At 54.1% G+C, this 26,906-nt stretch overlaps 1 protein-coding gene, 1 long non-coding RNA gene and 1 pseudogene across 2 annotated transcripts, besides 6 other annotated features; 1 reads left to right on the top strand and 2 right to left on the bottom strand.

Annotated features, from left to right (window-relative positions):
* Nucleotides 198–15,278, top strand: ALOX12B (arachidonate 12-lipoxygenase, 12R type). The gene is made up of 15 exons (NM_001139.3): nucleotides 198–618; nucleotides 1,694–1,898; nucleotides 6,727–6,808; nucleotides 6,938–7,030; nucleotides 7,134–7,256; nucleotides 7,576–7,679; nucleotides 7,973–8,145; nucleotides 8,375–8,518; nucleotides 10,721–10,924; nucleotides 11,171–11,257; nucleotides 11,570–11,739; nucleotides 12,198–12,319; nucleotides 14,157–14,257; nucleotides 14,596–14,766; nucleotides 14,964–15,278. The coding sequence occupies exons 1-15, from the start codon at nucleotides 472–474 to the stop codon at nucleotides 15,141–15,143; spliced, it is 2,106 nt and encodes a 701-aa protein (NP_001130.1). The 5' UTR covers nucleotides 198–471; the 3' UTR covers nucleotides 15,144–15,278.
* Nucleotides 422–1,170: an enhancer, noted in NCBI's record as "H3K4me1 hESC enhancer chr17:7990062-7990810 (GRCh37/hg19 assembly coordinates)". NCBI's record gives its function as "activates a minimal SCP1, AML or CMV promoter by ChIP-STARR-seq in naive H9 embryonic stem cells {active_cell/tissue: H9 hESC(naive)}" and the evidence as "EXISTENCE:reporter gene assay evidence [ECO:0000049][PMID:30033119]".
* Nucleotides 4,628–8,466, bottom strand: LOC107985075 (uncharacterized). Its single transcript, XR_001752778.2, has 2 exons — nucleotides 8,390–8,466; nucleotides 4,628–8,109 (listed from the first exon to the last, which is right to left on the bottom strand). It is a non-coding gene; the product is annotated as an uncharacterized LOC107985075 (long non-coding RNA).
* Nucleotides 7,943–8,052: an enhancer, noted in NCBI's record as "active region_11660". NCBI's record gives its function as "activates an Ori minimal core promoter by ATAC-STARR-seq in GM12878 lymphoblastoid cells {active_cell/tissue: GM12878}" and the evidence as "EXISTENCE:reporter gene assay evidence [ECO:0000049][PMID:35858748]".
* Nucleotides 8,113–8,292: a silencer, noted in NCBI's record as "silent region_8149". NCBI's record gives its function as "represses an Ori minimal core promoter by ATAC-STARR-seq in GM12878 lymphoblastoid cells {active_cell/tissue: GM12878}" and the evidence as "EXISTENCE:reporter gene assay evidence [ECO:0000049][PMID:35858748]".
* Nucleotides 14,322–14,855: an enhancer, noted in NCBI's record as "H3K4me1 hESC enhancer chr17:7976377-7976910 (GRCh37/hg19 assembly coordinates)". NCBI's record gives its function as "activates a minimal SCP1, AML or CMV promoter by ChIP-STARR-seq in naive H9 embryonic stem cells {active_cell/tissue: H9 hESC(naive)}" and the evidence as "EXISTENCE:reporter gene assay evidence [ECO:0000049][PMID:30033119]".
* Nucleotides 15,384–16,528, bottom strand: ALOXE3P1 (arachidonate lipoxygenase 3 pseudogene 1; annotated as a pseudogene).
* Nucleotides 18,436–18,937: an enhancer, noted in NCBI's record as "H3K4me1 hESC enhancer chr17:7972295-7972796 (GRCh37/hg19 assembly coordinates)". NCBI's record gives its function as "activates a minimal SCP1, AML or CMV promoter by ChIP-STARR-seq in primed H9 embryonic stem cells {active_cell/tissue: H9 hESC(primed)}" and the evidence as "EXISTENCE:reporter gene assay evidence [ECO:0000049][PMID:30033119]".
* Nucleotides 23,066–23,567: an enhancer, noted in NCBI's record as "H3K4me1 hESC enhancer chr17:7967665-7968166 (GRCh37/hg19 assembly coordinates)". NCBI's record gives its function as "activates a minimal SCP1, AML or CMV promoter by ChIP-STARR-seq in naive H9 embryonic stem cells {active_cell/tissue: H9 hESC(naive)}" and the evidence as "EXISTENCE:reporter gene assay evidence [ECO:0000049][PMID:30033119]".

The following is a 26,906-nucleotide window of genomic DNA, read 5'->3' as shown; positions in this document are numbered from 1 at the left end:
TGGCAGGAGGAAGGAGCTTATTAGTCTGATAAAGATCTGGGGACCACACCCTGCCCCCTCCCGCAACTTCCCTAGGGCCCTGGCTCAGGCTGGACTGGCTCCCCCACCCTGAAGGCGCCTTCATCCACGGCATCTTCTATCCGCCCTTTCAGAGGCAGGCCCAGTGCCCTGCCTGCTCTTCCTCCCCACCAGCTCCCAGAAGGCTTGGAGCCCAGACACCTGCTCACTCACCACCAGCTGGGCTCCGCCTGGGCCTGCCCGGCACCCACCCCGGCCACCAAGGGCAGCAGCTTTTCCAGAATTTGGCTGGCAGGCCTAGTCACCCCACCTCGCCACCTCACCACTGCACCTCGGAGGCCAGCCCTGTCCACTCCACTCTGTGCCTGGCTTCTCTTGCCTGCCTTGGGCCTTCGTGTGGCCCCTCCACGGTGTCTGGGACTGAGTGCCCCTCTTGCCTCCTGAAGAGCAGCCATGGCCACCTACAAAGTCAGGGTGGCCACAGGCACCGACCTCTTGTCGGGAACACGGGACTCCATCTCACTGACCATTGTGGGGACACAAGGAGAGAGCCATAAGCAGCTGCTGAACCACTTTGGGAGAGACTTTGCAACTGGGGCGGTAAGAGTGTGTGTGTGTGTGTGTGTGTGTGTGTGTCTGTGTGTGTGTGTGTGTGTGTCTGTGTGTGTCTGTGTGTGTCTGTGTGTCTTTGTGGCCCCGGGAGGGGTGAAGGTGCGCAGGGGGAGCCAGGTGAGCTGAGCTTGGCGAGGAGAGGCTGGAGAGCTGAGGCACAGCTCCGAAGGCAGTGGGCTCCCCAGTGGCTCTACACGCCTTGTCCAGAGCTGGCTTCCAGCCCCTCGCCCATGTCCCAGATCTCTGGGCCATCCTTCTCCATCCTGCTCCTTCATCTCTAACCCTTTCAGGCATTCCTCATCTCCCTCCCCATCCTTTTCTTCTCTCTCCCTCTTCCTCAGCCCTCTCTCCCTGTCTCTGCCTATCCTGCATCTCTCTTTTCTCAATCCTTTCCACCTGCTTTCCTTCCCCTTTGCTCTCCTCCCCTTTCTGTCTTACCCCCTCTCCCGCATCCCTCTCTCTTCCATTCTCAGTCACTCTTCCTAATTCAGCTGCCTCCTAACTGTCTCACATTTGCACTGGATTCTCTGTGACTTAAAATGGCATCAGACCAGCCTGTCCAGTGGAAGGCACGCTTTGCGGGTCCTCAGACCTGATTTTCAGTCAGACCCAGCCACCTGCTGCTAGGCGACCTTAATAGGTCACTCTATCTATGTGGCCATTCTGAATATCTGCATCTTCATTGATGAATGGGAGAAGGGGCTGGCTGGGCCTCTCCCCACTCGAAAACTGTAGAGTGGTACCCAAGTCCCCAGGGGTCTGAAGGGTTCCTGCAACCTCAGGTGCCTGGAGAGGGGAGTGGGAGAAGACAGGAGCTGGGGATGGAGAGAAGGAGGGGCTGGAGTCCTACATAGCCCTGGGTAGAGGAATCCAGTAGGAGACCCCCAAGCTGGAGAAGTCAGAAGGAAGCTCAATGATCAGGTCAATATCCTGTCCCTCCGTCAGTCCAGGGAGGTGAGCATTGCGCAGCATGAGCAGGGCCTAGGTGAGGGGCCAGAGGGGTGGGCGGCCTGGGAGCCGGGGTGAAGTCCTGCCCACTCAGCCAGGCTTGCATCCTGCCTAGGTGGGCCAGTACACCGTGCAGTGCCCTCAGGACCTGGGTGAGCTCATCATCATCCGCCTGCACAAAGAGCGGTACGCCTTCTTCCCCAAGGACCCTTGGTACTGCAACTATGTGCAGATCTGTGCCCCCAACGGCCGTATCTACCACTTCCCCGCCTACCAGTGGATGGATGGCTACGAGACCCTGGCACTCCGGGAGGCCACAGGTAAGCCCTCATCACCCTGCTCCATCCTATGGCCGTGAGGCCTCTAGCTCCAGCCTGCTACCCTGGCATGGCACCCAGGCTCCCATCAAGCCAGAGGGGGGCCCAGCCCCACCAGGGACTCCTGGGCTCTCCTGCCACTGTCACACATTTCCCTCAGTCAGTGCTGCTGCCCTGAGCTCAGCTTGGGGCTGCACATTGGAGGAAGAGAGGTGCCTGAGGCCCAGCAGCTACCCTCAGCATCCCCATCTGGCAGCAGACAGCATTCCCAGAGTGCGCTCCCCGCTACCTCTCCAGTCCTCCCTGACTCCTATAAGATGCCCGGCCACGTTAAAAATACCCCTTGTGATGCTAAGTACAGGCTCAGGACTCTCACAGGAGGCCTATTTATGATGCCAATCATATGCGCTCCAGAAAGACGCCCTGTTACTCCAGCAGGATTCTGTTACTATAACAGGATGCCCCATTATTCCAACCAGCACCTTGCTATCCCATTTAGAAGCCCTTTGAGTTCAACAGGTCTCCGTGGTGCTGCGGTCTTATAATTATGACGCCCTGGCTTTCTTTTTTTGAGACGGAGTTTCACTCTTGTTGCCCAGGCTGGAGTGCAATGGCACGATCTCGGCTCACTGCAACCTCCACCTCCCAGGTTCAAGCGATTCTCCTGCCTCAGCCTCCTGATGCTAGTTTTTGCATTTTTAGTAGAGATGGGGTTTCACTTTGTTGGCCAGGCTGGTCTCAAACTCCTGAACTCAGGTGATCTGCCTGCCTCAGCCTCCCAAAGTGCTGGCATTACAGGCATGAGCCCCAGTTTTCTAATTGAGCATTTTTTAGACTGATGGGATGTTCTATTGCTCCAAAGGACTCCCTATTTTCCCAACAGGACACCATATTTCTCTAACAGGATGCACTGTTACTCCAAAAGGCCCCCCTTAATCCAGTAAGGATCTATCTAATAGGGGCCCTGTTATTCAGATAGACTGTCAGGGTTTCTCCAAGGTTAAGGCTGGCCAAGGCTGCCCAGTGGGTTTTCCACTTGCTTGGTTACTCCCATGGGAGAGACATAGGACCGGAGTGGCTGAGCTCCTTGCACCCACCCCTGCCAGAGCCCCTTGTGTGGTGGGCTGGGGTCAGCTTCCTAATTTGTGGTGCTGCATGAGGACTGGGGGCCTGTCCTCTCTTATCTCCCAGTTCCACCACCTGAGTGTCTGTTGGCTTCCCTTGAGGCGAATGGGAGGGAAAGGCTGAGCTGAGGACACCCAGGGCCCGAAGCCCCATCCTCCCTGCAGCTGACTACCTCTCTTCCGTTTCTCATTGCCCTGTGCTGGAATCTTCCCCCAGGATTGGGGAACAGGGCCTGAGCTGGGGAAAGGAGAGGCGAGGAAAGCCTGGGAGATGGTGAGCATGCCAAGGGGAGGGTCTCACTGGGGACACAGAGCATCTTCCTGCAGTGACAGGTCTGGGTGACATGGAAGCAGGGGACAGGCAGGGTGATGCTGGTGGCCAGGCAGGAATGGGGTTGGGTGGGGCCGCTGCCACGCAACAGGACAGGGAGACTTGAGTCACCCATAGGGCCCTCAAAGGAGTGAGTCTTCCGCCCTGGGGATGAAAACGAGCTAGGTCTCTGGGTTGCACAACTCCAGGGAGCACTGTTCATCCAGAATACAACATGAGCTGAGGCAGGTGGAGGAGGGAGAGGGTGGTGAGGTAAGGGACTTGAGGGGAAATGATGGGCTGCAGCGGTAGGCACAGGCCAGCCTGGGGACCACCAGCCAGGGTGCTGGAGAAAGACGGACCTGGACTTAGGTCTCAGTTCTTCCACTGACTAGCTGGACATTTGGGCATATTTTCAAATTTTTTTTTTTGAGATGGAGTCTCGCTCTGTCGCCCTGGAGTGCAGTGGCGCAATCTCGGCTCACTGCAACCTCCACCTTCCAGGTTCAAGTGATTCTCCTGCCTCAGCCTCCTGAGTAGCTGGGACTACAGGCGAGTGCCACCACGCCCGGCTAATTTTTTGTATTTTTAGTACAGATGGGGTTTCACCGTGTTAGCCAGGATGGTTTCGATCTCCTGACCTTGTGATCTGCCTGCCTTGGCCTCCCAAAGTGCTGGGATTACAGGTGTGAGCCACCGCACCCGGCCACATTTCCAAATTCTTCTAAGCCTTGGTTCCCTCATCTGTAAAATGGAGATAACAACAGAACCTACTTCATAGGGTGGATGTGAGAATCCAATAAGATGACATCTGAACGGAGTTGTTTTTTTTTGTTTTGTTTTTGTTTTTTCTTTTGAGACAGAGTCTCGCTTCGTCACCCAGGCTGGAGTGCAGTGGCATGATCTCAGCTCATTGTAACCTCTGCTTCCTGGGTTCAAGTGATTTTCCTGCTTCAGCCTCCAGAGTAGCTGGGATTACAGGCATGCAACACCACACCCAGCTAATTTTTGTATTTTTAGTGGAGATGGGGTTTCATCATGTTGGTCAGGCTGGTCTTGAATTCCTGACCTCATGATCCACCTGCCTTGGCCGCCCAAAGTGCTGGGATTACAGGCGTGAACCACCGCACCTGGCCTGAACAGAATTTTAAAAGGCTTAACAACTGTTGGTGGTCAGAAGCAGCCCACTACGGGGCAAATCCAGCCTTGTCCCCACGTAATACATAATAGCGACTGTTTCTCCTTGTAAAATGGGCATGGGGATACAGTCCTTTAGCTGAAACTGTTGATTCCAGGGGTGCTTTGAAATTCGGATTTTATTGAGAAGCTACATACACATGTATCTGTACACATGTGTGTATGTTTATATAAAATATGTATATGTATACATATATATCTTCATCTATAAATCTATATCACACACATACCCCATATATTATGTGCTATATCTACCACAGGGCACCCCAATCAAATATACTAACACTTCCCAGTAAAAACTATGAATAGTTAGACCCAGTGAGTTAAATAAAGATTGTATATAGCCTCAGGGAGATTCACAGCAGGCTTTGTCAACCAATGAATTTGTTGTGGAACAAACAGACAAACTTGATTTCCACAGCTTTCTGTACTTTGCAGTTGTGACGAAGGGGTCACCAGCCTATAGTAATAGTCACCTGCCTCATAGGGTGCTTCTTAGGCTTAGATTAATAAAAGTAAAGTGTCTACAAAGTGCCTGGTGTTGGGGACCAGCCTCAACACCACCTGTAGGGTACCCAAAGTCCGGTGGTGACGAAGGAATGAGAAGAGACAGGTTAAGAGTGCAAAAAGAGTGGGGGCCAGGGAGGCAGTTGCAAAATGGAGGCTGCAAAAGGCCCAGAGTTCTGGTCTCCACACTATTTATTGAGTACAGTCACTTAGATCTAAGAAGCAGATGTTCAGGGTGAAACACTGAAAGGGAGGCAGTGCGTCACAGGCGTAATCTATAGCAATAGCGGTTTAAACGAATCTCCTTTGTGCTCAAACAGCACATCTTTAACTTATCGGAGAGCAGCTAGTGGGAACAGGCTTAACTAGGAGCCTGCGCGTCTGTCCACCTTCCAGGTTTCAAAGGAGTGTCTTTCTCCTTGAACACAGTGTTTATAGATAAGACAGCAGGTTAACGCTCAGAGCATGGGAACATAATGGCGATAAGAACGCTTTCCTCCTCAGAGGCCTTTTGTGACTTTCCACAGCTTACTGTCACATATTTTTATGGCCAGTTTATACAGGCACCCCACAAGCCCTTTTCCCAATACCTGGGACCTAGTAAGTGCTAAACAACTGTCAGTTATTAATATTTCAGTGGTATATACCCAAAGGAAAAGAAATCAACATATCAAAAAGATGCCTTATTTATTGTGGCGCTATTCACACTAGCAAAGATATGGAATCACCCTAAGTGCCCTAATGGATGACTGGATAAAGAAAATGTGGTATATATACACAGTGGAATACTATTCAGTCATGAAAAAAATGAAATCATGTCATTTGCAGCAACATGGATGGAACTAGAAGTCATTATCTTAAGTGAAACAAGCCAGACCAGAAAGTCAAATACCGAATGTTCTCACCCATAAATGGGTGTTAAAAAATGTGTACACATGGGCCAGGTGTGGTGGCTCACACCTATAATCCCAGCACTTTGGGAGGCAGAGGCGTGCAGATGACCTGAGGTCAGGAGTTCGAGACCACCCTGGACAACATGGCGAAACCACGTGTCTACTAAAAATACAAAAAGTAGCCGGGCATGGTGGCAGGCACCTGTAATCCCACCTACTCCGGACACTGAGGCAGCAGAATCGCTTGAACCCAGGAGGCAGAGGTTGCAGTGAGCCGAGATCATGCCATTGCATTCCAGGCTGGGTGACAAGAACGAGACTCCATTAAAAAAAAAATGTGTACACATGGACATAGCAAAACAATAGACAATGGAGACTCTCAAGGGTGAGAGGATGGGAGGGGGTGGATGATGAGAAATTACTTAATGGGTACAATATACTTTATTTGGGTGATGGGTAACCTAAAGCCCTAACTTGGCCACTATGCATGTAACAACATTGCTCTTGTACTCCATGAATTTATAGAAATAAAAAATATTTCAGTGGGTCTAGAGGAGGGACTTTTTGCAGCAGCAGAGCTTAGCTTGACAGTAGAGCAAGAGGAAAGAGGGTGGGTCCGTGATTCTTTTATCTGATATTTCCGGACAGGACGCACCTTCACTCTCCCAAGGTGAGCCTTCCCACTCCTTGGTCATGGGCCCCCCCAGAGACGACCTGGGGCACAGAAGCTGAACTCCTGCTTCCTGAAGTGGGCAGGGGCAAGGGTCAGCCCTTGAGTCCTCTCCTTGGTCTCCCTACAGGAAAGACAACAGCAGATGACTCGCTCCCCGTCCTCCTGGAGCACAGAAAAGAGGAGATCAGAGCCAAGCAGGACTTCTACCAGTGAGGGGGCGGGTGGCAGAGTCTGGGCGCCCGGCAGGGGTCCAGGGAGGTGGGGGGCAGTGATGGCTCTGGCCCTTTGCCCTGGGGTGGTGCACGGGCATGAGGGTGACATCTCGGTTTCCCTTGCAGCTGGCGAGTCTTTCTTCCTGGCCTGCCCAGCTATGTGCACATTCCCAGTTACCGCCCTCCGGTGCGGAGGCATCGCAACCCCAACCGGCCTGAGTAAGGACCCGAAGCTGTGCTGGGCCCCGCCCATGGTTTTCCCCTGGGCGCCTGCCTCCTCCCCGCCCCCTGGATCCCAGTTGCCCTGCGCTTCTCCCCACAGGTGGAATGGCTATATTCCGGGATTCCCAATTCTCATCAACTTTAAGGCCACCAAGTTCCTGAACTTAAATCTCCGCTACTCCTTCCTCAAGACGGCCTCCTTCTTCGTCCGCCTGGGGCCCATGTGAGTCCGTGTGAGTGACGGGAGAACGAGGGCTCCTGCAAGAACTTTCCCTCTCCCCCAACCTTGGCGGCCTCCAAGACAGCCCCAGAGGTTGGAATGGCCAGGAAGGCAGAGGGAGCTGAAACGCAGACCCAGAAAACCTGAGACATGATCCCAGAGACCTAGAGATGCAAAGATCTTGAGACATGGGACCCAGAGACTTTGCGACGCACAGACCCTGAGACCCAGAGACCTAAGTGGATGGGGCGGCCCCGCCACCTGCCCCAGCCGGCGCTTGGCAGCCCCTCTGAAGGCCTCTTCCTGGAATCCCATCTCCTAGGGCACTGGCTTTCAAAGTCCGCGGCCTGTTGGACTGCAAACATTCGTGGAAGAGGCTGAAGGACATTAGGAAAATTTTCCCTGGCAAGAAATCTGTCGTCTCCGGTATGGAATGGGGCGTCCCGGATCGAGCAGGGGGAGCCAGGCGGTCTCCGGCGTGCTAGGCAGGCCCCCGACTTCGGGGCAGTGGGACGGGAGAGGCAGCGAGGCGCGCGCGCGCCCTCTGGCGGCTTCTTGGAAAATGTCGCACCGGGCTCCTCCGGCCGCTCAGCGCCAGGCTGGGGGCCTCGTTTTCCTCCCCGACTCCTCTCGGTGCCCATAGTCTTCTTCTGTCCCATGCCTCTCCGTCCCCGAGGGGGGCCGGGCCTCCTTGTGACGCCCTCGCGCCGTCCTCGCAGAGTACGTGGCCGAGCACTGGGCAGAGGACACCTTCTTTGGGTACCAGTACCTCAACGGCGTCAACCCCGGCCTGATCCGCCGCTGCACGCGGATCCCAGACAAGTTCCCCGTCACAGACGACATGGTGGCTCCGTTCCTGGGCGAGGGAACGTGCTTGCAAGCGGAGCTGGAGGTGAGGCCCGCTCCGGCGGAGACCCCGGCCCTCCTCCCGGCCTCCCTCGCGGGCATCCCCGTCTCTCCCCACCTCCGGCGCCCGCGCCAGTCCCAGGCAAGCCCGCACCCCGCGTCCCTGTCCCCGTCCCACCCCTGCCCCTAGTCGCCAGCGCCCTGTGCACCTGCGGCGCGGGTCACGGGCTTCCCGTGTGGGTGCCTACTTGCCACCCATCGCGGCTCCCCTCCAGAAGGGGAACATTTACCTGGCCGACTACCGCATCATGGAGGGCATCCCCACCGTGGAGCTCAGCGGCCGGAAGCAGCACCACTGCGCCCCCCTCTGCCTGCTGCACTTTGGACCCGAGGGCAAGATGATGCCCATCGCCATCCAGGTGCCTGGGCTGCAGGCGGCGCTGCCGCTGAGCCTCTGTGTGCGCGAATGCTCCTCCGAGTGTGCGCGCGCTTATGTGAGCGTGTGGACCTGCATGTATTCAGCCGTCTCTCGTTATCCTTGAGAGATTGGTTCCAGGACCTCCCCGGGATGCCAAAATCTGCAGATGCTCAAGTTTCTTATATAAAATGTCCCAGTATTGCCGGACGCGGTGGCTCACGCCTGTAATCCCAGCACTTTGGGAGGCCGAGGCGGGCGGATCACGAGGTCAGGAGATCGAGACCATCCTGGCTAACACGGTGAAACCCCGTCTCTACTAAAAATACAAAAATTTAGCCGGGCGTGGTGGCGGGCGCCTGTAGTCCCAGCTACTCGGGAGGCTGAGGCAGGAAAATGGCGTGAACCCAGGAAGCGGAGCTTGCAGTGAGCCTAGATCATGCCACTGCATGTCGCTCTGGGCGACAGAGCGAGACTCCATCTCAAAAAAAAAAAAAAAAAAAAAGTCCCAGTATTTACATATAACTTACACACATCTTCTTGTGTGTTGGGATCACAGGCGTGAGCCACCGCGTCCAGCCTGGGCACATTTTTCTAGTTCATACAAAAGCCCGGTATGGGCTGGGAGCAGCTCAGGTTTGTATGCCCGAATAGGCTTAGGTGGAGATGCACCTTGCAAGGCTCAAGGACCGCCTTGGCAGTTCCCCGCCTCTCACCTGCTTGCTGTCTTGGTCCCCTGAGGTACAGAAGTACAAAGTGCGCTGCTCAGCGGAGCTGGGTGAGCTCTTGCTGCTGCGTGTACACAAGGAGCGCTACGCTTTCTTCCATGTTGCACTCCTGGGCTCAAGCGATTCTCCCGCCTCAGCCTCCCAAAGTGCTGGGACTACAGGCGTGAGCCACCTCGCCCGGCCCTCTTGTGTATTTTCAATCCTCTCTAGGCCCGCTCTCTAGGCCCGGTGTGGTGGCTCACGCCTGTAATCCCCAGCACTTTGGGAGGCCGAGGTGGGCAGATTACCTGAGGTCAGGAGCTCAAGACCAGCTTGGCCAACATGGGGAAACCCCATCTTTACTAAAACTACAAAAATTAGCTGGGCATGGTCGGGGGCGGCGCCTGTAGTCCCAGATATTCAGGAGGCTGAGGCAGGAGAATCTCTTGAACCCAGGAGGCAGAGGTTGCAGTGAGCAGAGATCGTGCCACTGCACTCCAGCCTGGTGACAGAGCAAGACTCCTTCTCAAAAATAAATAAATAAATAAATAAATAAATAAATAAATAAATAAATAAAATGAAATAAAATAGATCCTTTCTGGATTTCTTATAGTACCCAATACAATACAATGTAAATGCTATGTAGATAGTTGTTACACTGTATTGTTTAGGGAATGACAAGGAAAAAAAGTCTGTACACGTTCAGTAGAGACACTTTTTCTCCCAGAATATTTTCCATCTGTTGCTGGTGGAATCCACTGGTGTGGAACCCATGGATACGGAGGGCCAGCTGTACTTGTATGCCCCTATGTGTGTGCATCTGTGAGTGTGTGCATGTATATGTGTCTGTGGGGTGTGCTTGTCTCTTTGACTTCATCCATCCATCCACCTGGAAAACCAATCCCTGAAGGGGGTCAGGTCCCTACTGGAAATACTGAGATAATTAGACTTAGCCTCTGCCTTGGGAATCTGGTCTGGCAGAGGAAGGAACTGGGTGTTTCCTTCCCAGAGGTCCCCCCAAGCGTCATGTGCAAGTTAGAAAGAGGCTCCCTCTGGGGGGATGGGCCAGAGCCCCAGAGCCTGATGCTCCTGGCTCCTTAATGGAATAGCGTAGGCTGATTTCAGTGATCTGCCTGCCCCCTGAGGGGCTAGGAATCCTTGTGCAGTGCACAACCTGCGCACCTGAATGTGGTGGAGGTGTGGCTGAAGTAAGGAAGTCTTGCCAGAGAAGGCAGCTTGTGAGATGGTTCTTGAAGAATAAGTGGGAGCTGCCAGGTAGAGACAGGGGCAAGAGGAAGGTACTGCAGTTGAGCAGAAGGAACAGCAAGATCAAATGTGGGGAGGGAGGAAAGGCCCAGGGGTGCTCAGGGGACCAGTGGGACCGGAGCTTAGGAGTGTTTTCACCTTCTCATACTCCCTTCTGCCTCCTTCCTGCGGTGGGGCCTTTATGTGTGTGGGTCTCTGCCCTCACCCAACCCTTTCTCTTTCACCACACCTAGCTCAGCCAGACCCCTGGGCCAGATTGCCCCATCTTCCTGCCCAGTGATTCTGAGTGGGACTGGCTGCTAGCCAAGACGTGGGTACGCTATGCGGAGTTCTACAGCCACGAGGCCATCGCCCACCTGCTGGAGACACACCTCATTGCTGAGGCCTTCTGCCTGGCCTTGCTGAGGAACCTGCCCATGTGCCACCCCCTCTACAAGGTATGGGCTTGGGAGAAGGGGCCTCCCCCAGGCATCATGGCCCTCACCTGGCCTCCGAAAACCCCCAGGCCCACTGAGCAGTCAGAGAGACTCCAGTCAGCCTGGGGGGCATCTGGGGACCACAAGAGAGGGCTTGGCATAGGGACTTCCCAGAGTGAGCAGATCTGACGTTACAGAAATGGGGAGCTGAGCTCCTTTGGGGGCCACTTCAGCCCTCTCTCTTCATCCTCCTTGCTCTCCCCACAGCTCCTCATCCCCCATACCCGATACACCGTCCAGATCAACAGCATTGGCCGGGCCGTTCTCCTCAATGAGGGGGGGCTCTCTGCCAAGGTAAGACTTCTGCCCCCAACCCCAACGAGACATTTGTTTTCCTCTGGCCTTTTCAGTTAGATGAAGAGGAGGACTTCCCATTTGCCTTTGGGTCATCATGAGGGGGCATGAAGGGAGGGAGCTGGATGAAGTTGGTTCTCCTGTCTAGAAAGGAGCAGAGGCAGGGCTGGTGTGCTGGCCCAGAGCAGGATTGTTCCTGGAGGTGGGGTGGGCTGGGTCAGGGGTTACAGGGGCACTTACTGGGATCCTAGAGGACCTGAAGGGGTTCCAGGGATGCCTGTCCGGCTCCAGGATCTGCCTCCTTCCTCACAGGGCATGTCCCTGGGCGTGGAAGGCTTTGCTGGGGTGATGGTACGGGCTCTGTCGGAGCTCACCTATGACAGCCTCTACCTCCCCAATGACTTTGTGGAGCGTGGGGTCCAGGACCTGCCTGGATATTACTACCGCGATGACAGCTTGGCGGTGTGGAATGCACTGGAGAAGTGAGCTCAGGACAGCAGTGGGTGGCTCTTAGGGTGGACAACCTGGGATGTTGGAGAGGGTGTGGGGAGCTTCTAGAGAACTGAGTGTGGGTCTGGTGTCATCCAGGGGCTTGGCCTTGGGGAAGGGGCCTGGGGTCTGTGTGTCCATCACACCTACACCCTCAGCCCAGCAGGCCCCTTCCTTGCTTGGGTCCCCAGCCCACCTCTGCTGGCCAAATCGCTTCTGGGATCTGAGATGCCTGTAGGCCTTGCCCATCCCTTATAAGGGAGTGCTCTGGGTGTGTTCTGACCTTGCCAAGCCATCCTCTCCACTTCTGCCCCACAGGACTTGCCCTCCCACAGGCCTGGGGCAGCTCTGGGGCCAACTGAGGTCAGGGCACCCTGGGGGAGGTGGGAGAAGCCTGGCTGAGGAGTGGGAGGGGAGGAGGATCCAAACTGAGGCCCTGTCCCCTGGTCAGGTATGTGACGGAGATCATCACCTATTATTACCCGAGTGACGCAGCCGTGGAGGGTGATCCGGAATTGCAGTCTTGGGTGCAGGAAATATTTAAAGAGTGCCTCCTGGGGCGGGAGAGCTCAGGTATGGGCCTGGACACCTGGGCAATCAGGGGGAGCTGGGACTGAGGGGCAGCCCCCAGGCAGGTCTGCTAGGGCCCTCCTGGGCTGGATCAGAACATATTTTATTGTAGACTGAAGGAGACCAAATTGCTGCCCTAGGATTTTGACAGGCTCTTCTCTGGCCCCTGGAGCAGTGGCATCTCAGAGAGGTTGGGGAAGAAAACATGGCTGGCAATGGGTCCCTGTCTGAGATTAGGGGCTGTGGGTCATCTCTGCAGAGACCTGGAGGGGTCCCAGCCCCACCCCAGAAACAAATCTTTGTGGACTGTGAAATGGGGTATGAGCTCCAACGGGAAGGGGCAGGAGGCCAGGGAGCTGGCAGCTCCAGGAGAAGGGTGAAAGCGCCCTGAGGTCCCGCCACCTGGGTACACACTCAACAAATATCCAGTGAGCATCCACAGTGCAACACTGTGCTGGTTATTGAGGAGGCAAAAGGGAAAAAGACAGTGGTGAAGGTGCCTGCCTTCAAGGAGTTCACAGTCTGGGGTGGCAGGTACTTCCCTAAAGTAAGTTGTGGGGAAGCCCAGGGAAGGCGCCTAACCCACTTTGGGAAGGGGTAGTGGAGAGAAGACAGGGCAGGAGCAGCAAGCTAAGATCTAGCTGAAATCTAACTTCTTGGCTAACATCTAGCTAAGATCTGCAGGATGGAGAGGTTAGCCTCGAGATGACTGAGGATGGGGACGGAGAGTTCCGCATGGGAGCAGTATGTGGAAAGTCGAGAAAGCCAGAGAGAGCATAGGGAGTTCCAGGAGCTGCTTACTGTAATCATGTTCTCTGCAACTGGAGCTTAGGGTGGGACGTGGGGAGGTTCCCAATGGGCTGAGGCTGAGGCCGTGAGCCACGGCCAGGCTGCACAGCCTGGTTAAGGGCCAGAGGGATCCAGGGAGGGTTTTGCAAGGAGATCAGACTTGTATGCTAGAATATCAGGCTGCACTGGCAGTCAGGAGACAGTTAGGGAAGCTGTTGTGGTGTCCAGGAGGGAAGACTGGGGACCTGACTAGGGTAAGAGCTGTGGGGATGCCACAGAGAATTCCAGAGCTAGAAATGACAGGACTGGGTGATGGTTTGAGTTTGGTGGTGAGGGGAGGAGGAGGGGAGGGAGGGGCCAAGGGCGACTCCACGTTTCAGACTTTTGCAACTGGATACGTGATGTAGGTCATCCATTGAGCTGGGGGCTAAAAGGAGGAGCGGTTAGGGAGGAAGATGATGGGTCTGGTTTGAATATGTGGGACTTTTGGAACCTGAGATCACCATGGCAACCAGGACACACCGGACAACAGGAAAGAGAAGCAACCTGAGGTTCACACGGGACAACAGGAAAGGGAAGCCAGCAGCTTGGTAGGGAAGATGTGTGGGACTGAGAAATCCATCTGGAGTGGGCACAGAGTCTGGAAGGAGGTGATGGGAGGGAGTGGAGAGGGGGCGCTGGGTTGAGTCGGGGCAGGACTCTTCCGAAGGAACCCAGGAAAGCCTCCTGCCTCTCCCAACATCCCCAGGTCTGGGACCGGAGCGGCATCCCCAGGGAAACTGGAAGAGAGATCTGAGGGCCACTGGTTAGACAGGGGCCAGGAGCAGCCCTGGAGGACTTCTGGCCAAGTCCTCCGTCCCCAGCCTTATGATCTGGGTGAGGGGAGATGGGGTTGCTGCCATAGGAGGGTCACGCAGGCAGGATGAGGGTACGGATGCGGCAGCTTGAAGCTTTTGCAAAACGGTGAGAGCGGGGCATGGTGGCGCCCTCTGCCGGGCAGCCAGTACCAGGGCACGACTGATGTCGCCTGGGCTTTTCCCCCGCCGGTCAGGCTTCCCTAGGTGCTTGCGAACCGTGCCTGAGCTGATCCGATATGTCACTATAGTCATCTACACCTGCTCTGCCAAGCACGCTGCTGTCAACACAGGCCAGGTACCGGTGGTCTCACCAACCCAGGCCCAGCCCGAGGCTCAGACCTTCTAAATTTCGTCCATGCCCCAACCTCAAACCCAGCCTCAGCCATAATCCCTGGTCCAGCCTCAACTTGTTCCAGCTTCAACTCCAGTCCCAACGGAAACCGAGCCTCAGCCCCAACTCTCAGCCCCAGCCCCACACCCAGCCCCACCCCCAGTCTAACCAACCCAGCCCAGCCTCAGCGCCAAGGGCGGGGAGTCCATCTCAGCGACTGGAGGGCGGGTGGTCAGCACCTGGTGGAAGGAAACTCCTGAGGTACTCTTCCACCCAGACCCGCGCCTCTATCCCACCTCCAGATGGAGTTCACCGCCTGGATGCCCAACTTCCCAGCGTCCATGCGGAATCCACCGATTCAGACTAAGGGGCTGACCACTCTGGAGACCTTCATGGACACGTTGCCGGATGTGAAGACCACGTGCATCACGCTGCTGGTGCTCTGGACCCTCAGCCGAGAGCCTGACGACAGGGTGCGAGACGGGATGGGGGACTCTGAGCACAGGGAGGGGACCAGAAGCCGGGGATGGGGGAGGATAACTAGCGGCGTCAAGAGGGGAGCAGGGAGTGAGAGGCCACTGAAACCAAAGGGTGGAGGGGCCAGGGCCACCGGCAGGAGGAGGGGGTGCTGGCCGGCCCTGGTCCCAGCTGTCGAGCTCTCTGCCCGCAGCGGCCCCTGGGACACTTCCCGGACATTCACTTCGTGGAGGAGGCCCCGCGGAGGAGCATAGAGGCGTTCCGCCAGCGCCTGAACCAGATCTCACACGACATCCGCCAGCGCAACAAGTGCCTTCCCATCCCCTACTACTACCTGGACCCGGTGCTGATTGAGAACAGCATTTCTATTTAGGAGCGCGCTTCCCGTCTCTCCTCTCCCCATTCTGTGCCCTACTATTTTCAACAAAACAAAACAAACAAGCAAAAAACACAAAAACCTCAGAGACCAAAACACCAAACAAACAAAAAAACAAAAAACCTTCCTTTCCCTGGGTCTGGCTGTGAATGCGCGCGGCAAGTTACTGGGGCGCTGGCGGCAGGGCTGGCGCCGCGGGGTGCAGGTGCAGGCTGTGCCGCGCGCTCTCACCGCGATTCCGTTCTCTGCGGCCGCGGGGTTCAGGTAGGAGTAGGGCAGCGCCAGGCCCCGGCTCCACTCCAGGACGTCCGCCGAGATCTGGGCCAGGCGGCTCTGCCGCGGGGCCTTCTCGGTGAAGTGCTCCTCTGGGTAGGTGTCCAGGAGGGGAGACCGAAAGGCTGGGACCTTGGCCGGCTGCATTTTCAGCCCACAACGATTCTGTTCCAGCTTAAGTCTCCCTCCCAGGGGACTTAGTCCACCCAAGCCCAGCCCACGTAGGGGTCCTGGAGCACTCCAGACCCATCCAACTTGAAACATAAAACACCCGCCCACCTAGACAAAAGACTGCGGGCCACAAGAAACCCAGACCACCCCAAGCCCGGCTCACTCTGAAGCCCAGACCACTCTAAACTCCCCCTACTAGGAATCCACAGCACCCTAAACCACACCCACCAGCAACCTAGTGGCCACAAGCCCTGCCACCTAGGAGCCCAGCCTGCTAAGCTAAGTGCATCCTCCTAGTAGCCATTGTCCCCAGGATCCCTTCCTCAATGTTCCCACTCTCTAGAAGCTGAGACCCCAGCCATCCCCACCTGGGCCTTGCTTATGGTGGCCTTGGTTCCATTGCTGACCCCCCACAGGAGCAGCAGGGGGTGGTGTGTGGCATCGACCGCAGGGAGTGAGGCTGCTTGTTCTGTCTGGCCCTTGGCGGTGGGCAGGGCAAGCCACAGGATGATAGGAATATTGGGGATCCAGTCACTGAATTCAGACCGACCCCCGCAAACTCAGTACAGAGCTTCCAGTGCTGCTAGGGCTGCTCCTCCCGTGACCCTGCTTGTCCCCCTGGTCTGGCAGTGGCTCACCTGGCCGCTGTTGATGGCAGCATGTTGGGCTGAGCAGGTGACGATGATCGTCGTGAAACACCGGATGAGCCCAGCACAGTGGCCCAGGGTGGAGGGGACCCCCTAGATGGGAGTAGGGTAGAGAGAACAGAGCTGAGACCCAAGAGGCTGCTGCCCTGGGGCAGTGGACGCCACCTCTGAGAGCATTTGGCTTGGAAAACCCTCCTGGAAGATCTCCCTGACCCAGGCCTGGAGCTCTGAGTCCCTGCTCACTGCCGTATCGTCCGGGTAGTAGATGTTAACAATATTGGTCCCAAAGCTGGGGGGTCGGGAATACACGGTGACTAACAGCCGGGAGCCAACACTGCACAGGGGTATGGGTTGGAAGGGGCCACTGAGACCTGCTGCCCACAAAGGGGGAAACTGAGGCCAAGGAAGGAAAACGGCCAACCACAGAGTGAACTGCAGAGCCGAGATCAAACCGGGAGGCTGTGCTCTTCACCATGCCATGCAAACAGAGGCCCGAAGGCCATGATTGATCTGCAGATGTGTTTTGATCAGCTGGCAAGGTTTTTCTGTTTGTTTTTCAAGTTGAATCACTTGCCAACGTTTAAATATTAGAAGATGTCTGGTTTCTGCTGAAAAATCAGAAGATCTGGTCACAGTGATAGCTGGGTCACCACTGTCCCCATCAGACAAACATGAGTTTCCCACTGGCCACGGTCCCTGCCCACTCTTCTTCCTTAGCTTTTCTCTGCTCACTGGTCCTGCAGGCATTTGGATTCCAACCCACAGGGAAGGATGAGACACCAGGTCCATCTGCCTCAGGACCGGCTGATTGGGTTCATCTCATCCACTGGTTCCCAAAGGGCCCTCCATCCCCAGCCATAGTAGGATGTGCAGACCCCTGCTGAGGAAGGAGCTCCTGCTGTGGATGTTCATATAGGGGGAGTCCCTGAGGTCTTCAAGGGGGAGGTGGGACATGAGTTGGGCTTGAAGCAGGGGCAGAATTTGAATTGGGAGAAAGGGAGAAATTAGGGTGCCTCGTCTCCCTAGGCCCAGTGTGTGCTGAGGTGGAAGAATGGAAGTAGGGGCAGATTTCAGAGGGGCTGAGCTGGCAGGGAATGCAGCATTGCATGTGGCGAGCCACTGGGCACCACTGGAGGCTAATGGGCAGCGGCACCGCCATCAATCTCGGTGCTGGAGGGAGGCCATTATGCAGGCTGGTGGCAGGAGCTGGGAACCCGTGGGAGGCCAGATATTAAGAGGATCTGGCCATTGGGGTGGAGGCCACAGCTATACCCCAAGGCAGTCTCCTATGAGGAAGATTTCAACGGAAAAACCTGGAGACACAGTGACTTTATCTATGGGGTGAAAAATAATCTTTTTTTTTTTTTTTTGAGACCGAGTTTTGCTCTTGTTGCCCAGGCTGGAGTGCAATGGCACGATCTTGCTCACTGCAACCTCCGCCTCCTGGGTTCAAGTGATTCTCCTGCTTCAGCCTCCCCAGCAGCTGGGATTACAGGCGCCCACCACTACACCCAGCTAACTTTCGTATTTTTAGTAGAGATGGGGTTTTGCCATGTAGGCCAGGCTGGTCTCGAACTCCTGACTTCAAGTGATCCGCCCACCTCAGCCTCCCAAAGTGCTGGGATTACAGGTGTGAGCCGCCGCGCCCGGCATAATAATCTTAATAGCTAATCTCCGAGAGCACTTTCTGTGCACTGGGGTTTGTTCTTAGGGTTTTGGATTGAATAAGAATAATAAGCTATACCATAGGTGCTCTTATTACCCCATTGTCAGATGAGGAAACAGGCACAGAGAGGTTAAATAACTTCCCAACACAGCTGGGAAGGATCAAGAGTAAACAGGAAGGGCTTGGAGACAGCAGTGTGTTTGGGAAGGAGGCTGGGGGAAGGTTGAATAAACCAACAGGGGTCTAGCCGAGGGTGAGAGGGTTGGAGCCCTCAGGCCCCAGGGGAGTGTCACCTCTCTATGGCTGCCCAGATCTGGAGTGTAGTAGCGGGCGAGGTCCTGGACCTTGAAGTCAGCCAGCTGGTGGGACAGGTAGAGGGAGTGGTAGCTGGCAGCTGCCAGCCCTTTGGTGATCAGCTCCAGGCAGCCCATCTGTCCCAACAATGTTGACTGTAATGAGCAGAGAGCCCACTCCTGCTGCTAGGAGGGGCTCTGGACCAAATCTCAGGCCTCCCCAGGCCCTCTGTGCTCACCCCAAGATCCCAGGCCTCCAGGGCCTTGACCTGGTGGATGAGCTTTCCTGGTACAAAGAGCCCAGTGCGGGCTGGATGTTGATGTGGAAGGTGCAGAAGAAAGGGGAAGCCGGAGTCAGAGGTCAGATCAGGCAGCCCCGGGTCTCCCACAGCTGTGGGCACTGAGAGGAGGGCTCCTCCCTGCCTTGAAAATGGGTGGCTCATGGGCAGCTGCCACAGCATGGACAAAGCAAAAGCTCCACCACAAAGTGGGTTTGAAGTAGATGAGTGACCGTCTTGTGCAACAGGAACTTTCAGGGTCACACCCAGGTCTTGGCCAGGAACCAGTCTTCAGCTGGGGTCACTGGGCAGGAAGATGGGGCTGTCTAGGCTGGGTGTCTGAGTGAGCTGGAGTGGGGGCACAGGAGAGGGCAGGCATTGGGCAGAAACTGGGGAAGGGCAGCCCATCACCACGTCCATGGGGCCAGAATAAGGGAGGAGACCACCCCTCATATTGTCTTATGCCCAATTTCTGCCTCCAAAGAAAGAAGAAGTAAAAACTAAGGCAGAAATGAAATCCACAGGCAGGCAGCCCTGCGCCACACCCCGGGCCTGGTAGTTAAAGATCAACCCCTAATCTAATCGGTTATGTTATCTGTAGATTACAGACATTGTATAGAAAAGCACTGTGAAAATCCCTGTCCTGTTCTGTTCCGTTCTAATTGCCAGTGCATGCAGCCCCCAGTCACATACCCCCTGCTTGCTCAATTGATCACGACCCTCTCAAGCAGACCCCCTTAGAGTTGTAAGCCCTTAAGAGGGACAGGAATTGCTCACTCTGGGAGCTCGGTTTTTGAGACGCGAGTCTTGCCGATGGTCCTGGCTGAATAAAGCCCTTCCTTCTTTAACTTGATGTCTGAGGGGTTTTGTCTGCGGCTCGTCCTGCTACAAAATCACACGACTTTTGACCAGCTGTGTGAACTTGGGAAAGTTTATTAACCTCTCTGTGATTCAGTTTCCTCATTAGTAAGACAAGGTTGATGAGAATAATCTCCTTGAGAGGTGAAGTGACCCAAGGCATCGTGTTGGCTGACTTCCCTGTACCAGTCCAGTCATCCAGAGCCCCAGTTGTGTGGGGCAGACTGGAAGGATGGGAAGGGACGGTGTGGACACCTCCCGAATGGGTTATGGTTTTAACTATTAGGAACACGGTTGAACTGCCAAAGGTGCGTGACTTAGTACAATCGATTCTGACACCCTGTCAAGGGGCAATTTGTTCTCTTGAGTATCATAAACTTTCTATCAAGATGGAAATCAAAGAGGACAAAACAGAAAGACAAACTTGAGAGGGGCTGAGTAGGATTGGAGAGGTGATGTCACCAGGCACAGTGGCATTGGGAGGAGGCAACCTTTCAGTCATCCCGAGGATGTAATAGACTTCCCCTACCCCACCCACCAGCCCACCGAGGCCCTGCCTGGCTGACCAGAATGACAAGGGATAGCAAGGGCCTGTTGCCGTTGGGACGCTGGTGCAGCAGGATCAGGGGTGCAGTCATGAACTAGGGCCTCCCATGAATGATGCTGGGGTAGAGGCCTGAGAGGATGGCATGGTCCACCAGGTACAGAGAGCCCCTTTAGAGGAGGAGTGGAGGAGGAGGAGGGCTGAGCAGGCTTGGGTGAGGAAGGGGGAGTTATTATGAACCTGGGAGTATTTCACTTAAAGGAACTTCATTCTCTGGAGCCAGTGGGGTGTTCCAACTCAGAGCCACTTTGTGGTTCCAGAGAAAGAAGCCCCTCCCCTCTTCCCCCACCCAAGTATTGAAGGTGACTCTACTGTGGCCAGGCCCAAGCATCAGTGAGAGACAGTGAGAGAAGCGCGCCCCGCTGGAGGTCAGCACGAAATGCACCCTCCTGGGGTCGCAGCACACCCCATCCCAGTAGCCCAGGGAGGGGAGAGCAGCAGCTCTGGGGGGCACTCAGATTAGCTGCAGAGCATCCTCGGAAACCATGGCAACCAACGCATCACTATAGTTTCTGTGCTGGGAGGGCCTGTCAATGCATGGCTCCTGGCAAAGTAGCAGGAGAGAGCACATTCCTCACTCAGCCCTGCCCCTCAGCCCTCACCATCTCAGAACAATGCCCCTCCCTCCACTGGCGCCCGCTCAGCCTGCAGACTGGTCCCAGGGTCCAGCGCAGGGACCATCATGGCATCAGTGACCAGAAAATTCTTTGGGAGTCAGTGACAGCAGTGGATCAGGATGGAGTTGAGGTCATTCAGAAACTAGGAGGTGAAGGAGGCGAAAAAGGTGTCCTCATCCTCCTTCTAGTCTGAAATGCATACTCTGCAGAGGGTAGGCGTGGGGAGAGTCACCCTGGTCCTCTGCCTGCAGCATGGCCACCACTGTCAGACCCATCTCCAACTTCCCAGCATAGCCACTTCCTGATGCTGATGGCTGGGCTGGGCTTCCCTCCTCTCTAGCACAACGGGTTGGATGACTTTACTTTTCCAAGTGGTTTTCTTAGACAACAAAGGATCGCAGGTTTGGTTTCTGCCTGAGGAGTCATCTGAACTCCCTTGGCCCCACCCGTTTTGAGGGAAGCCTAACATGCTCTGTGATGTGCACTAAGACCTCACCTAGGATAAGTTGAATTTGAGAAAACTGGAATACTAAAGAATGCTGGATACCAGAACGGCCCGTCCTTCCGGGCTTCCGCTCAGAGAGGCCCTTTTGATTCCCTGCCAAAACTCACCAGTCCCGGGTCCCATTCTCCTGCTACTTTGTCACAAGGCAGTGTAGATGATTTGTTAAACCAGAGTGATCATTTAATAAGAGGTTGCATTGCTTTGGGGCGTGGCACTGGTGCTAGGGTTTCTGAACCAAGAGTTTGACCTGTATAGTTTAAATGCATCGTGCACCCAGCGGCAACAAGGATATTGGAGAGTGAGCACTACTGAATCTTCCAGCTTGGTTTGCTTGTTTGTTTATTTATTTATTTATTTATTCGGAGTTTCGCTCTTTCGCCCAGGCTGGAGTGAAGTGGCGCAATCTCGGCTCACTACAACCTCTGCCTCCCAGGTTCAAGCAACTCTCCTGCGTCAGACTCCTGAGTAGCTGAGATTACAGGTGCCTGCCACCATGCGTGGCTAATTTTTGTATTTTTAGTAGAGACGGGGTTTTGCTGTGTTGGTCAGGCTGGTCTCAAACTCCTGACCTCAGGTGATCCACCTGCCTCGGCCTCCTAAGCTTAGTTTCCTTCCTTCCTTCCTTTCTTTCTTCCTTTCTTTCTATAGTCTCTCTCTGTCGCCCAGGCTGGAGTGCAGTGGTGCGATCTCCGCTCACTGCTAGCTTTGCCTCCTGGGTTCATGCCATTCTCCTGCCTCAGCCTCCAGAGTAGCTGGGACTACAGGCACCCGCCACCACCCTGGCTAATTTTGTTTTTGTATTTTTAGTAGAGACAGGGTTTCACCATGTTAGCCAGGATGGTCTCGATCTCCTGACCTTGTGATCCTCCTCACCCTGCCTGGCCTGCCTCGGCCTTCCAAAGTGCTGGGATTACAGGCGGGAGCCACCATGCCCCACCCAAGCTTGATTTATTTTCAAGTCTGCATGCCTAGGCCCCCAAGCAAGCAGGCACAATTTTGGAAGGAAAAAGTCTTTCTGCTTCAGCCTTTTTTTCCCCTTAAATTGCTGAGGATATTCAAGGACAGGTGTTCCCAGTGTTGGGGACAGTTTGAAGAAGTAGGTATGAAGTGGGGTGTAGATCAGTACACAGACCCCAGTCCCCTGACTGAATTTCAGCTGCCTCAGGAGCTTGGCTTCCTGTGGGACCGAAGTCACGGGCATCCAGAGAGGGCAGAAAAGTAGCATTGGTGCTTGCCTTGGCAAAGAAGCAAAGTTGTTAGAACTTACTTTGGCCATTCTTTTGGAAGCCCTGATAGGTGAGAATGGCTGGGCAAACATGGGCAATTACCCCACGATGAGAGAGGACATGTTGGGTGGGGCATCCTCCCAGGGTCCTTCAGCCCTGACCTTCTTCCCACACAGAAGCCACTGCTGGGCTGGGCGTGGTGGCTCACCCCTGTAATCCCAACACTTTGGGAGGCTGAGGTGGGCAGATCAGGAGGTCAGGAGTTCGAGACCAGCCTGACCAACATGGTGAAACCCCGTCTCTCCTAAAAATACAAAAATTAGCCAGGTGTGGTAGTGGGTGCCTGTAGTCCCAGCTACTCAGGAGGCTGAGGCAGGAGAATCGCTTGAACCCAGGAGGCAGAGGTTGCAGTGAGCCGAGCACAATGGCAGGACGTGCACATTCTCAGGGCAGAAGTGAGCTTCTTCAAAGGACAGGTAGGAACTGGTGGCAGCACAGAACAAGTCCTGTGATTTCCAGAATGTTCTAATTTTGGCTTTCTGGTTCTCAGTCCCACAAGGTTGCCACCAAGGACCCTCTTGCCCTGCTGCAGCCACCTCGCCCTTCCTCCCTCACCCTGCGGACCTGACACCTTGGTGTGGGGAAGATGAAGGTACACTGATCCCTTTTCCAGACCCCTGGCTGCCCAGCAGTCCTGCAGTTTCAGGGCAGTGTTCCTGCAGAAACAAAGACAGAATGGCCCAGGCTGTGGAGGGGATCCAGGTGCAGAAAGGGAGATCTTAGCCCCCAGCCTCTCCCCTCCTCTCCCCAGACCTGGGGTGGGAGCATCTTTGAACCAGGGTGTTGGCCAGCCCCTGGCCTCTGCGTCTGCTTTGCCTCTTCCCCCAGGGATGGAGAAGCCCTGCCCACTCCACCTTCCCCCCACGGCAGACCCTGCTTCAGCACCTGCTTCAGCACCTGAGGTCGTCCCCATCCGTTCACTGAGCCCCAACTCAACAGCCCAGGCCAGAGGGGACCAAAGAGTAAAGTCGGTGGGAAGAGGAAAGAGAAGACATAGCTACACCCACCACCCCCAATACTGGGCCACGATGTTCTGCCCCCAACCCCTCTGCTTCACAGGCCTGTTCTCTTTCCACCAGCTTCTCCCTCTTCCACTCACTGATCCACCACTCAACTTCCCCACCTAATCCTCTTGTCAGAGCCGGTGCTCCCCTCCCCCACTTATCTTCCATCCTCCCCTCCCTGAGTATGGTTCCTCCCAACCATCCCACCTCCTCCTTCCCGTGCCCCTCATGTCACCTTTCTGCCTCCCCCCTCCCCACTGTGTCCACACCAGCCCCCCTCCCCTGACCCATGACCACCCTGGTCCCCCTCGCTCCCTCCATGCCCCTCCTGCAGCCCCGGCCCTGCCCTTTGCCTGCCCCCTCCAGCCACTGGTAAGGGGGAGCGGAGGGGGTCCCCAGCAGCCTCAGCTGGACCCAGCGGCAGACCCCGGAGTCTGGGCCGGACCTAGAGGGGGCGAGGCAGCGTGGCGGGGGGCGGGGGGCGGAGGGGGTAGGGGTGAGGTGGGGGAGGCGGGGAGGCCGGCGGGGGGAGGGGTGGCAGAGGGGAGGGGAGGCGGGGGACGCCTTGTGCAAACGCAGCAGCAGCACCTGGCCCGAGTCCTCAGGGAGCGTCACCTGGAGGTCTTCCTTTCGGGGGGCGGGGGAGTGGGCAGAGGGAGAAGGCATAGTAAAGAGTGGCTTATTACCTTTTGTTCCCCAGGACGCTTCCCCTTTCCACACTCTCATTCCGGAGGTCGCCATAAGCAACTTCCACAATTCTGGATGTTCCAGACCCACGACCGGACTAATTTTTGGTGGAGGGGGAGCAGTATCTTTATCTTCCCACTTTAATGGGTATGTTGATTCAAATCTTCTAACTAAAGTGGGGGGATTATATGGATCATTTCTATATTCGATCATAAAGGAGTCCCCAGCGCACCCAGCGTTTTGTCCGGTGCAATTTCTAGCAAAAGATTCCTTAGGAGCCCAGTCTATAATGACCCCATGAGAACCATTTCGCAAAACTACCGCATTATCTGCCACACAAACCTCCCAAGTAAGAATTTCTCATTTTTCTGACCATTCTGGATTCCTTTTAGGGCAAGCCAATCCCTTAGGCTTGCAATTTTGGACTTTTATATTTGACTGATAATAACTATCCCCTTAAGTTTTTACAGTCCTGATGGGTTGAAAAGACATTCCACTCACTACGTGATAACTAGGTTGAGAACGATTATGAGGAGGTACGTAGACCATCCAACTTTGTATTTGTAATGGCAAACATCCAGGAGCAATTCCTAAACAAACTGGAGGGTATTTATACCCAATTATCCCATTCATTAACATGCCCTCCTCCTCAGGCTATGCAGGACAGCTATCATAAGTCGGCCCAGGCATCCAGATACTACCATTTGTATAAACTTCAGTAGGGGAGTCCATCCAAGTGACAGGTCTAATCAAAGGAGGAAATGGAACATAAGCCCAGTAGTAAAATTTTGCTTAGCTGAAACAGCAGAGAGACTTACCGCCGTGGTGATTACCATCAAGGCAGCCAAGATCATATTACCCGGTGTAATCGCTAGTTGTTTCTCCTTTAGGGTGTCCTCTGCCAATTGAGTCAGCTTCTTTATCTGTCCCCATGTCAGTGGTGTAGCCTAGCGAGTCTTCTCCGTCTTCTGTTTTTTCTCCGAGACGCTCAGCTTCACCATTTTCCTCAGCTCCCGAAAAGACAGGTCGAAGGGACCGGTCTTCTTTCTCTTTTGATTCTTTCCTTTTTTCTGACCGGTCGGTGTAGGGTTCATTGTAGAATTTTAAATGTCTATTGGGTATCCAAATGAGTGTTTGATTGTCTCTTGGTGAAACACAAGGAAAACCCCTCCCCCAAGTAATACTTTTTCTTAATTTCCAAGTTTTGGTTCTGGTATCCTTCCACCAGACCATTTTTCCTTTCTGTGGCACACCCATGACTGCAAAACAAGATAATAAATGTCGTTTTACGTGAGCTGTGCTTTCTCCAGTTTGGCGTGTAGCCCAGATAAACCGAGAAAAAGTATTAACAGTAACATGTACGAAAGAAAGTTTTCCGAATGATGGGACATGAGTCATGTCCATTTGCCACACTGCATTTGGTTGAAGCCCCCTAGGGTTACCTTCAGGTTTTTGGGTGGGTAGCTGTAGCACTTGGCACTGAGGATGTTGTACTATATTTTTAGCTTGTTTCCAGGTAAATGAATATTTATTTTTTAATCCAGCAGCATTTACATGAATTAGGGAATGGAAGTTTTGAGCTTTTGTTCGCGTCTGTGTGAAGAGACCACCAAACAGGCTTTGTGTGAGCAACAAGGCTGTTTATTTCACCTGGGTGCAGGTGGGCTGAGTCCGAAAAGAGAGTCAGCGAAGGGAGATAGGGGTGGGGCCCTTTTATAGGATTTGGGTAGGTAGTGGAAAATTACAGTCAAAGGGGGTTGTTCTCTGGCGGGCAGGGGCGGGGGTTGCAAGGTGCTCAGTAGGGGAGCTTCTGAGCCAGGAGAAGGAATTTCACAAGGTAATGTCATCAGTTAAGGCAGAAACCAGCCATTTTCACGTCTTTTGTGATTCTTCAGTTGCTTCAGGGCATCTGGATGTATACGTGCAGGTCATAGGGGATATGATGGCTTAGCTTGGGCTCAGAGGCCGGACACTGTTAGAACAGGCGTCACTAATAAATTTGCTTGATTATTTAATAGGGTTAAAGGTCCTGGTAAGTTTGTGTGAGCCTAAATATGTGTAATATAAAAGGGAAAATTTTGAGTCCTAACTGCTTGTTGAAGTGAACTAAACAAGAAATTTAACTGATCATCAGAAATATGTTTTACTAAAGCTGTTTTTACCATTTTGGCAGCTTGGAATACGTAAGCAGAGTCAGAGATTATATTAACAGGTTGATTACAATCTTCCAATACAGATATAACTGCTTGTAGCTCAGCTCTTTGTGCAGAATGAAACTGAGTTTGAATAATCTTTTCTTCCGGTCCTGTATAAGCTGCTTTTCCATTCTGAGAGCCATCAGTAAAGATAGTTACGGCTCCCTCCAAAGGAATGGAACTAGTTATTTTGGGTAAAATTTAGGTAGTCAATTTTTAGGAACTGAAACATTTTAGTTTTAGGGTAATGAATATCTATACTGCCAACAAAATCAGCCAGATTTGACTGCCATTCTGACGAATTAATAAAGGCTTGTCGAACCTGTGCTTTGTTTAAAGGAACTACATTTTTATCTCGATCGGTGCCAATGAGTCTGACTATTCTCAGTTGTATTTGGCCTATAAGAATAGCTATTTGATCTAAATAAATTGAGAAAGTTCTAGTCGTACTGTGCGTTAAAAAGGACAATTTAACTAAGTCAACATTTTGAACAATCACTCCTATAGGAGAATGGAGAGTAGGGAACACTAAGAGCTGTAATGGAACACTAGGATCTCTTCTACGGACTTGAGCACTTTGAATTTTTTCCTCAATCATTTGTAACTCTTCAGCTGCAGCAGGCATCAGAGTTCTTTTGCTACATGAATTTGGATCCCATCTCAGCAAAGCAAACAG

The sequence above is a fragment of the Homo sapiens genome, chromosome 17 (assembly GCF_000001405.40).
Source record: "Homo sapiens chromosome 17, GRCh38.p14 Primary Assembly".
NCBI classification, from domain to species: Eukaryota; Metazoa; Chordata; class Mammalia; order Primates; family Hominidae; genus Homo; species Homo sapiens.
The sequence above is the reverse complement of the archived record's forward strand: the minus strand, read 5'-3'. Positions and strand labels throughout refer to the sequence as shown.

Excerpts from the sequence above, each read along its gene's own strand:
- ALOX12B (NM_001139.3), top strand. The coding sequence starts at position 472 with ATGGCCACCTACAAAGTCAGGGTGGCCACAGGCACCGACCTCTTGTCG. Across the intron at positions 8,146-8,374 it reads GCTTGCAAGCGGAGCTGGAG|AAGGGGAACATTTACCTGGC; the intron begins GTGAGGCCCGCT and ends GCTCCCCTCCAG. Across the intron at positions 8,519-10,720 it reads TGATGCCCATCGCCATCCAG|CTCAGCCAGACCCCTGGGCC; the intron begins GTGCCTGGGCTG and ends CACCACACCTAG.